Source organism: Homo sapiens, chromosome 10, assembly GCF_000001405.40.
Source record: "Homo sapiens chromosome 10, GRCh38.p14 Primary Assembly".
Classification (NCBI taxonomy): domain Eukaryota; kingdom Metazoa; phylum Chordata; class Mammalia; order Primates; family Hominidae; genus Homo; species Homo sapiens.
The window spans coordinates 114992324-115004314 of record NC_000010.11 but is presented as its reverse complement, the minus strand read 5'-3'; the positions used below and the strand labels follow the sequence as shown (position 1 = coordinate 115004314).

The 11991-nt window shown below is 41.4% G+C and overlaps 1 long non-coding RNA gene across 1 annotated transcript; it reads right to left on the bottom strand.

Moving 5' to 3' along the window:
• Positions 1–7721: 7721 nt before the first annotated feature.
• LINC02626 (long intergenic non-protein coding RNA 2626) lies at positions 7722–9658 on the bottom strand. Its single transcript, NR_120677.1, has 3 exons — positions 9530–9658; positions 8777–8872; positions 7722–7840 (listed from the first exon to the last, which is right to left on the bottom strand). It is a non-coding gene; the product is annotated as a long intergenic non-protein coding RNA 2626 (long non-coding RNA).
• Positions 9659–11991: the final 2333 nt, after the last annotated feature.

The following is an 11991-nucleotide window of genomic DNA, read 5'->3' as shown; positions in this document are numbered from 1 at the left end:
TCTCACCTTGCAGGAAAGGTTGACTTCTCAGCACATTTGCGTCCTCCAAACTCTAAGAGAAGGAGAAAAGGCGACCTGGCAAAGATGGAAACATCCTTGAGTCAGAAGCCCTTCTTGTGAAAGCTGCCAGGATGTATTCAGTGGCCCCTGAGTCCTTCCAGTGAACCAGTTTCTGAGTAGGAGATGATGACAGCCCTTTCCTAGCCCTTTGCAGGTTGGTGTGATTGCTCTGCAGAGAAGAGGACCTGGCAGGCTTTCGGGCCCCTGAAGGTATTCAAACTTCAGTGCCAATAAATGGACGTGGAAAAGCAGCCCTGGGGAACCAGAAGAGTTGAGGTAGAGCTCCTCTATCAGCTGGCAGTTCAGAGGCTGTTTCCTCCAGAAAGCCCTCCCTGGTCCCTGGTCTGGGTAAGGCAGCTCTGAGTTCTTGCAGCTGCAGCCTCCTCCACCTCCACGTGGATGAAGTTTCATTAGGCACAGCTCTTCCATCCCACCTGTGTGCTTCCTGGGTATGGACGATGTGTGTTTCACCTCACGACCCTTTGGAGTCTAAGTCCAGGGACCATATCACCCATTGCTAAGGAAGGTCCTCCTTCCTTCTAGTTTTTGCTATGCACCCATGTCCCTGTTGCGTACATACTATCTAACAATGCTGTGCTTGGGCATTGCTTTCAGGAAGAGAGGAGTCAGCATGTTCTGTGGAATGTTATGAAGAATCAAAACAGTTAACAGTTTGTCACTGGCATGCAGTCAAAAGATAAGACATATTGGAGAAAGAATCTGTTACAAGCTCTTTATTCTAATAGCCAATTAGACTTAGAGTGAAATAAGAGACCAGAAACTGGATGACAAGAAGTGAAGACTATTCAATAACAATTAGGCATGAGATAAATTCTGAGATAGAGAAATGAATAATTTGAAAGAAACATAACATCAGCTATACTGAACATATTTTTGTAGGAATAAGAAAGGAACCAGGGAATTTTCCAAAGATATTTGATTGTTAAAAACCTTACTTAGGTGTACTACTTCCAAAATGAATAAGAAGATAGAAATGAAGGCTTCAGAAACAAAATACAGGATCTGAGAAAACAGGCTGGGCACGGTGGCTCATGCCTGTAATCCCAGTGCTTTGGGAGGCTGAGGTGGGTGGATCACCTGAAGTCAGGAGTTCAAGGCAAGCCTGGTCAACATGGCGAAACTCTGTCTCTACTAAAAATACAAAAATTAGGCATGGTGGTGCATGCGCCTGTAATCCCAGCTATTCGGGAAGCTGACAGGAGAATCGCTTGAACCTGGGAGGCAGAGGTTGCAGTGAGCCGAGACCACAGCCACTGTACTCCAGCCTGGGTGACAAAGTGAGACTCTGTTTCAAAAAAAATAAAAATAAAAAGATCTGAGAAAACATAATCAAATACTTCTCTGAAGAATTTCAACACTGAAATGGCCTCTCTTTTGTCACACATGGCTAAAAAATCTCCTTATATTGGGTTCTGAAGCATTTTCATGGAGCATGATCTGTGAGTTACTATACACAGCATCATAAATGCAATTGTTGACATTTTTTAAAGGGAAACAAGCATATCTATTCTACCAGGTTTGTGAAGGAATAGAAACATAAAGGCCAACCCTTTAGCTATATCCATACACGGGGTTCATATTCTGCATGAAGAGCCTATTAACTTTTGCATATTTAGGGTCCCCAGTCAGAGCTTCCAGCCTTTTTTGCAAAGTTTGGTTGGGCAATGCTGTGACCCATTCCAGCATCTACCATCCCACCTGAGAAAAGGTGGTCATTGAGATATGGCAATTGTTCTTTTATCCAGTTGGGTGAGGCCATTGAAAATGTGGATCTTGTTCTGAAGCTCTCTAATTTCATGTTTGAAGCACAAAGCTTGGGCCTTGGCTGAGCAAACAACCTCAAGAGGCACTATGGCAACCTTGGCTTCCATAAAATTGTTTTTCCAAGAGAGTGGAAGTGGATGCCCAATGTCTTGTAGCTCCTTTGAGTACCAGGTGATTCTAAAGAATCATTTGCTGTTTGACCCAAAGAAACGTGACTGCCAGAGGGAAGAAAGCCAATTGAGCTGAGAAAAGCAGTATTTAAAGACCAAGGCAGGAAATGAAGCAGTGAGCAGTTGCTAGAGCAGCAGCACCTGCGTATGATGAGCAAAGTATCTGACCACTGGCACATCCGTAGCCAGCTCTGTTGAATCCCCTATTATAATTCTGATTTCTCTCACTCAGTTCAGGGATTTGGAATTGGGCAGCCAATTCTGTGTTTACCTTGGTAGTAACACTCCTGCATATGCAGTAGTGTCAGGAAGTGAGTATTGTTACAAGCAGAACATCTGGTGGAGGAACATATTATCAATCCTGTAATAGATAAAAGAACCACAATCCTAAACCCTCAAATTCATTTTTTGGCTTTCCTGAGAGAACTGAGAATTGTGGGTAACCTTGAGGAGGGAAGGAAACAAGCTTCACTGAAGCTGGGCTCATTTTCAGCTGTCAGTGGAAAAACACAAGGCTGCACCAGTCTCCGCTGAAACTCTCAGACTCGGCCAGTAGTTGTTTTCCAGCTTCTTGTTACCTTTGAAATCCAAACATTTTCGATTTCTTCCTTTCTGCTGTGCCAGCAAGACGGAGCTAAGTGAGACAGTTTGCACCAGGAAGGCGCCACAATTATGCACTGTGTCACCACCGGACACGCAGCTGGGGAATGTGCAGGGCGCCTGCAGCCGAGGGGCCAGAGTGTGCTTTTGAAGACGTGATCATAGCCACTTTCAGTTCATCTTGCCTTAAATCAGTGGACAAAAAGAGGCAGCTGACACTCCGCTTGTAAGGGATAGTAACACCATAATAAATCACATTTTTTCTGTGCCAGTTTTCTACCTTGCCCTAATTTCATAGATGAAATCACATGTGTAAAACTGACTTTGCAATTTAGCTCTGAAGTCCAGAAAGGCTACCCAGGGAGCACCGTGCCTTTTTTTATACTTATTCCCTGATATATTAAATCACCTAGAAAGCTGGAGGAAAAAGCTCTCCTGCCTGAGCAAGTGCAAGGAGGGTGCCATCTGAAGGATAGTCCAACATTGTAAAGCTGAGTGCAAGTGGAAGACCTAGGAGTAATAAGAATAACAATTATCATCTTTCTATTTTTAACCTCAGATGCAGTGAGTTGATTAATTTACACTCCTCAGTTCATGGCACATTTTTATTGTTACTCCTTCTGATTCCTACTCGTTTCATGTATTTGTTTAGGTTCCATTACAGCTTACGGACTTACCCCCACTCCAGCCACCACCCCATAGGGTAACCGTTCGAGTATGTTTAATATACATGTATCTATTTGTATGTGTTCTTACAAATTGTGTAAGCATATATTATCAATTTACATAATGGTACCGTGTTATGTATCTTTCCCTTTCCTTTTTCACTCAGGTCGGTTTTTAAGATCCAACTTTGTTGCCATGTGTATATTGAGTCTATTGATTCTAATTGCTTCAGAATACTCCATGACTCTTATCTCTTCATTAGGTGATTACTATATGCCAGATTCAGTACTAAGTGATTTAGGTATATTGATAACTTGGATTACCAATAACATTGAGAGTGTGAAGCATTTGTGTTCATCAAAAGGGATGTGAGTTTCTCAGAAGGCCTAAGAGACCTGGCTCTCTGGAGGTATTTTCTTTCTTTCTTTTTCTTTCTTTTCTTTCCTTTCTTTCTTCTTTCTTTTTCTTTCTTTCCTTTTCTTTCTTTCCTTCCTTCCTTCTCTTCCTTCCTTCCTTTCTTTCCTTCTCTCTTTCTTTCTTTGTCTCTTTCTTCTTTCCTTTTCTTTTTTCTTTTTTGTTTGTTTGTTTTAAGAAAAGTCTTGCTCTGTCGCCCAGGCTGGCATGCAGTGGCGCAATCTTGGCTTACTACAACCTCCACTTCCCGGATCCAGGCTATTCTCCTGACTCAGCCAACTGAACAGCTGGGATTACAGGTGCCTGTCACCATGCTCGGCTAATTTTTGTATTTTTAGTAGAGACGGGATTTCGCCATTGGCCAGGCTGGTCTCAAACTCCTGACCTCAGGTGATCTGCCCACCTCGGCCTCCCAAAGTGCTGGGATTACAGGCGTGAGCCTGCCTCTCTGGAGGTATTTTCAGGGGCTAGATCGCCAGCCACTTTACCAGCTCACTGTCTCTGCTGTCATGGGTCTCTCTCTTCTGTACAGTGACTTTCCCTCTGCCTTGCTTTCCTTTTCACATCTGTCTGAACAACTCCTAATTTGCTAGCCCAGGGGGCTCCTTATTTTTTTTATTAATTTTTTTCGGTCCCAGTCTTCTGTGAGCACCAGTCTAGCGATTTAAAGCATGAGCTCTGGGATCAGCCCATCCGGGTTCAAATCCTAGCTCTACGTTAACCAGTTGGTGTAACCTGAGGCAAACTGCTTAATCTAGCTGCACCTCATATCCTCATCTGTAAGATGGGGATGATGACACCTACTCTATAGGGTTGCCGTGAGAATTAAACAGGGTGTTACAGTGCCAGGCATGCAGTAACTGTTCAGTAAGTATTTTTTACTTTTCTGGTCCCTTTGCCTGGAATAACACATATACCAAACAAATCTTGCAAATAATTTCAAAAGGTATCTAAAATTGCTCTTTTTTAAGGTTACCAACCTTAAAATTCAAATTCAAGTTCTCCAGGTCCAACGATTACCCTTCTGTTCCGGTCCTGCTACTTCCTTCAGCAGCACTGGCCAGCCCCCACTTTTTGAAAGTCTTTATCCCGTGAGTCCCAGGAATCTACTCTTTCTGGGCTTTCCTCCTGCCTCAGAGGTCCGATTTTGAATGACTAAGGACCCAGAAGCCATTTAGCTTCTTTATCTACGCTCTCCCTGGAATAACCTTCTTATCCTGTCCCCTGGGTTTAAACATCAGCCACACACTGATGAATCTCAGATCATCAGCCCCTATCTCTCCCTTAAGCCTTGAGCTCACCTTAAGGGCCATCCATCGGATATCCAGCACCCGTCAAACCCAGCATGTGCACAAGCAGAGTCTTCATTTCCTCTGGACTTGCAAACTTGCCTCTTCCGCAGTCTCACTTACCTCTGCCAGTTGTGCGGAGAATAGACTCATGCAGGGAGAGAAAGGAACTCCCCGCAGGAGTCCAGGAGAGAGAGGTTTGTGGCTTGGACTGGAGTTGTGGCAGCAGAAAAGATGAGCAGTGGTCACATAACCAGATTCTTTGGGCAAGGGATGGGGTGAAGATGCAGACTAGGAGCCAGGAGCCAAAACTCCATGTACGCGAGACAGGCAAGGTTAAGACAGAAACAGTAAATTTCACATCAAAGACTGTTAAGGGCAAACTACAGGGAATGTTATGGGGACCCAAAAGAATGTGTGTTTTGCTACTTACCATTGCATAGGTACAGGGAAAAGAAGACTCTTTATGAGACAGTTTTTAGGGAAGATGGGTTACAAAGTGAATGGTATAATGCAGAATGTTTATGTATGTATATATGTGTGTATATGTACACACATTATTATATACACACATATATACATATTTATGTCTATATACACATATATACATATTTATGTCTATATACACATATATACATATTTATGTCTATATACACATATATACATATTTATGTCTATATACACATATATACATATTTATGTCTATATACACATATATACATATTTATGTCTATATACACATATATACATATTTATGTCTATATACACATATATACATATTTATGTCTATATACACATATATACATATTTATGTCTATATACACATATATACATATTTATGTCTATATACACATATATACATATTTATGTCTATATACACATATATACATATTTATGTCTATATACACATATATACATATTTATGTCTATATACACATATATACATATTTATGTCTATATACACATATATACATATTTATGTCTATATACACATATATACATATTTATGTCTATATACACATATATACATATTTATGTCTATATACACATATATACATATTTATGTATATATTTATGTATATATGTGTGTATATGTACATACATATATACATACATAAATACATATATATGTATCTCCCATTTTAATTTTTAAAAATTATAAGATATTTCAAACATGCAGAAAATTCTCATGTTACAAATCTTCTTACACCTACCACCTGGCTTTAATGTATGCACCCTTTTAATGGCACCTACCTATGTGTATTAGTGTTTCTTCTCTTTCTCCTCCTATATTATAGAGAGGTGCCTGAAGGCAGGGGCTTGACCTCCTCTTTGTGTCTCAGGAGCATCTTGCACAGCGTCTGTATACCTTAGACCCCCTAATTGTTGCTGAATTGAATTGAGTTCTTGAAAGACCTCAAAGAGGCCTTCAGGAAAAAGGAAAGTGTAGCAAGCAGCACATACGATTCTCACAGATTTGAGAAGCTGCAGCTATTTTTAAGGTGTATTAATTCAGAAGGAATTACTGGAAGTGAAAATAGGACAGCTGCATCTTGTGGCATATAACATTGAAAACTTACTTCATAGACTGATATCCTTGACTAATATTTCTGATTCCAGAATTAAAGCCACAGGCAACCTGAATCCCAGCTTTCCACGATTTCTGTGCCCTCCTACAAATGATAAGTTTATTTATTATGAAAGATCTTTAGCTGATAACAATTTACCATCAGCTACATCAGGTGCATTAGACGTTTATGCCCTTTGTCGAGTCCCAGTGGTTTTGTCTTCTGCCCTGACCTCCCTTTACCTGCTACAAATGCAGGAAAGTGTTGTACTGCCTGAAATATTAGAATTCTACCATATTGCTCCTTGGCACAGAGCTACCTCAATGACTTACCAGAATTTCCAGAATTCAAAGAAGAATTTGCTATATACCAAGGTAAATGAGACCTTGGCAAGCTTTCTAGCTAGTGGTAATGGCATCTGGCTTGCCCTGGATGGTCCCAGTTGTAGATCAGTGAATTATTCTCAGCTTCCTCTTCACTCTCAAAAGTGTCTCTGGGCCAGGCATGGTGGCTTACGCCTGTAATCCCAGCAGTTTAGGAGGTCGAGGTGGGCGGATCACCTGAGGTCAGGAGTTTGAGACAAGCCTGGCCAACATGGTGAAACCCCATCTCTACAAAAAACACAAAAATTAGCTGGGCATGGTGGTGGGCGCCTATAGTCCCAGCTACTCAGGAGGCTGAGGCATGAGAATCGCTTGAACCCGGGAGGCGGAGGTTGCAGTGAGCTGTGATCACGTCACTGCACTCCAGCCTAGGCAACAGTGAGACTCGATCTCAAAAAAAAAAGTGCCTCCGGTTTAGCTCATAAATTATATGATCACTCTATTAATCCCCCACCTAAACTTTTTACATCATAGTACCTGCCTTCTGTGGATGGGACTTCCATTTTTTAAATTTCTGCAGTGTCCCATTAAGTGGATTAAATAAAAGCCTTTGATTTGTTAAAGGAAGACACACTAGACATCACAAACCACTCTTTATTTTTGGCATTCCGCTTTCTGAACATAACACAAACCAAAATAACCCGAGATGTTACCATGATGAATCATGCCGACATGACATAGCTGCTTTCCATGGGGAAAATGTAAACCATCAAAAAAAAAAAAAACCAAAAAAAAAACAATAAGACTAAAATTTAAATTACACGGTAAAAAATGTTCAACATTTATAGTCCTGGACCATTTACTGAATTTAATTGAAAACCAGCTTAAATTTCAAAAACAGCAACAACAATTCAGGCTGCCTTTTTTTATTACACATTGGATTGCTCCTTGTCTCTTCGCTTCATCTATATCGGGTCAAAAAAAGAAAAAGAAAAAATAATAATACAACACTGGAATCATGTGAAGTTATAACAATATTTTCAGCCCAGCAATTTCAGCCCAATTTTCAGCAGTAATGTTTCATTAGAATCAAACATTTCCTAGATGGTTTAAAAACACAATGAAAATCTGGCACTTTGAGAGCTTGTGTGAATACAGCTTTAACTTCTTATTTTCAAAGAAAAATGAGATTTAACATTAAAAAACTAAAGCAATGCCCCTGAAGGTTCTTCCCTTAAAAAAGAAAGGAAGCTCAGCCTGCTGTACACATTAAATAATTAAAATCAATGATCCTTTTAAGCCTTTAGCAATGCATGAACCAATAGGGAGAAGCAATCTAATACTTCATGCATTTGGGGGATTGCATTAGAAAGACTGCTAGTCTGCTTCTGCTTTTATAAATGCAAATGTATGCAGAGCAGACAGATTGGGATCTGTACAATTTAGCAATGATCGAAACTTGTAATTTTTGAAAATGGGACAGATGTCCAGTCTAGTTATATTAAGATGCTTCTTATTGAAGAAGAAACCAAACCAAACAAACAATTCAATGCCACCTCCTCTTTTAACCGGAAACAAATAAACAAAGGCATCACAAATTAGAAAAAGTTATATACCATCTTGTTTCTTTCATGGATTGTTAAGTTGAGAGGCAGCTTCGGGTAGTGGAATAAACATTTCCAGCATGTATCACTGCATTACTCATCTTTCTGTCCCTAAAACACAGGAATGAAGGGAAATATTTCCCCATTCAAGGACCGGGGTGGGCTTAAGTCTAACTTCCAGAGTAGCCAGGTCTCTGGTTCTGTAGACTATGCTCTCCTTGAACCACAGACAGGAAGGCAGCCCAGAGTCAGGGCAGTCAATAAATACATGCTGAATGAAAGCCTTTGTTTACTCACTGAAAGTTGCTGAGTGCTCGTCATCTTTTCACGTTTGTAATATCACAGCTCCAGAGGTTTATTTCATGATGGCGAGTGCCTAGAATGTGCCACAAACTGGGGAAATAAAGGTGAAAACATGGCATTTACTCTTGAAGAGCCCGCAGTCTGGTGGGAAAGCCAGATAAGTAAATATACGATTAAGATGAGTGCTAGCGGCTGGGCATGGTGGCTCACGCCTATAATCCCAGCACTTTGGGAGACTGAGACGGGCGAATCGCCTGAGTCCAGGAGTTCAAGACTAGCCTGGGCAACACGATGAAACCCCATCTCTACAAAAATTACAATAAATTAACCGGGCATAGTGGCACGTGCCTATGGTCCCAGCTCCTCGGGAGGCTGAGGTGGGAGGATTGCTTGAGTCTGGGAGGTAGAGGTTGCAGTGAGCTGAGATGGTGCCACTAAACTCCAGCCTGGGTGATACAGTAAGACTCTGTCTCATAAATAAATAAATAAATAAATAAATAAATAAATGTACAAAGGCAGGCAGAGAGGCAACTAGAAGAGTGGGAGGCACTGAGTTTACAATAATTCAATCAAATCTTCATTAGGAATGTCTACGTGTGAGGTATGTGGGGCACAAGGGATGGAGTCCCTGTAGGTGCTAGGAGTTCAGGAAGGGGAATGACATCCAGTTGTGCTTCAGAACAATCACTCTGGAGGCGAGGCAGAGGAGGATGGTGGGGGTTACAGCCTAGAGGCCAGGAGGCTTACCGTGGGCCCAAACCAACACAGTGACGGGCTGGAGAAAAAGAATGCCTGCTTATGAGAGAGACTCCAGCCAGCTTTCCCACAACGCGGCTGCCGCTTCACTTTCAGTCAGAGCCGATGGTTCTGGAGTTCATCCTTACACTGAGCTAAATCCACCTCACTCTTACTGCCATTTGCTGGCCTAGATGTGCACTCTGCAGAAATTCAGAAATTACAGCTTCTCAAACAGTGGGTTGTGTTCATGCTTGACTGCCATCAGCAAAACCTAGATAAAATATTTATATTTCTCTAACAAACAAAAAAGCAGACATAAGGCATGCATTCCAAAACCTCCCTGGATTTCCCACTCTCAACATTCAAGGCAAGGACGTGAGGTCTTCCTAAAGAGGCTCAAAAGAAGATAGTTTAAAAAATTCTTCCTTAAAAAAATTAAGCTGCTGCTTTATCGATGTTTTCTGGATTTTGGAAATTTTCACTTAATGAATTACCCCTCTTCTTGCTTCCCAAACTCAATAAATAAGGGGAAAGTGTTTCTCCATTCAAGAAAAATAGGGTTTTGCAGCTGGGTGTGGTGGCTCACACCTGTAATCCCAGGACTTTGGGAGGCCAAGGCAGGCGGATCACTTGAGGCCAGGAGTTTGAGACCAGCCTGGCCAACACGGTGAAACCTCATCTCTACTAAAAATAGGAAAATTAGCTGGGCGTGGTGGTGGGCACCTGTAATCCCAGCTACTCGGGAGGCTGAGGCAGGAGAGTCGCTTGAACCCGGGAGGCAGAGTTCAGTGAGCGGAGATCGTGCCATTGCACTCCAGCCTGGGCGACAGACCAAGACTCTGTCTCCAAAAAAAAAAAAAAAGAAAAGAAAAAGAAAACTAGTGTTTTGCTATTCTGAAGACACTTAGAGCTCCACTCAATGTCTACAAGTGGAGCTACTTAGAGCTCCACTCAAAATTGAGCTCCACTCAATTTTCCACGAATGAGGGACAGAAAAGCAGGGGGCGGTCAGCTGCTAATCACGACCTCTGCCCTCTGCTTTTTCACCTTAGTAGACTCACCTCCTGCAGGTACCCTGATAGGTCTGCAGTTCTAACAAGTTTCCTGGATTTCTATCTACAACCTTAGAAAGGGCCCTTCAGCCCAGACCACATTACCAGAGCAAGATGGTGAACCACTACGTGGTCCCTGGTCGGCCAGAACTCTGCCCATGTGGTAATGAGGCTGTTCTAGTCAGGAAGCCCAGGGATTAATACTGCTACTAAGTTTTGATCAGGAAAATATAATTTAAATTGTTTATTATGAAAGTTGGCAAACATACATAAAGAAGACTGAAGAGGAAAGTGAACTCACATATTAACTTCCTTCAGGTTCAACATTACCAACATCTTGCCATACTTCATCTATCCTTTTCTTTCTTTTTAACTTATTTTTTTTTTTTAGAGACAGGGCTTCACTCTGCCACCCAGGCTGGAGTGCAGTGGCGCAATCACAGCTCACTGCAGCCTTGAACTCCTGGGCTTAATTAAGTGATCCTCCCAACTTGGCCTCCTAAATGCTGGGATTATAGGCATGAGCCACAGTGCCCAGCCTTCTTCCTTCATTCTTTTTCTTTCTCTTACCTTCTCTTCCTTCTTTGCCTCTTTTTCCCTTTCTTCCCCTTCCTTTCTTTTCTTCCTCCTTCCTTTCTTTCCTTACTGTGGTATTTTAAAGCAAATCTCCTACATCATATTCTATGCTTATATTTCAGGGTATGTAACTCTAAAAAATACAATTTTTCTTATAGAACTACAATACCATTATCATACCTGACCAAATTAATAATAATTCTCTAACATCATCTAATACCTAGTTCCCAAGAAACTTTTAAAATCGTAAGACTTGAAATTTCTATTGCCTCTCCAGGGAAAGGCCACACTACAGACAGCCTTAACAGATTCACTATCGGGGAATTCTTCTAGATACTCAGCTGAAATTTTCATCCTGTGACTGCATATTGTGCCCCCGTGTATCATGTTAAATAATTAATCTCTCTTTTTAAAGTTTGCACGTTTCAGATATTTGTATACATTTAGCTGGTCTCTTTCATCTTTGCTTAGCTGAGCTATACACATTTAATTCTTTTAATATTTCTTATAAATCAATCCCGTCAGCCCGCTAATCATTTTGGAGCTTTTCTTTGAACCTCCTCCAGCTAGTTTCTATAAGCCTAGTAATGAGTAGTCCAGAACCAGATGCAGCATTCCAGGAGCAGTCTCACCCAAATCAAATCGCTCCCCACTTCTCCAAGTGCTCAATCCCAAACAACAAACGCCTTATTTTCTGTCTCATTTTAACAGAAACAAACGTCTTGTTTTCTGCTTTTATTCCCGATTATCTTTAGGCATTGCAGCCTGTGTCTCATCCCTCCCACTAAACATCTGTGCCTCAGAGCACTTTTCTCCAGATGTGATGTAAACAGCGTTGGTGGA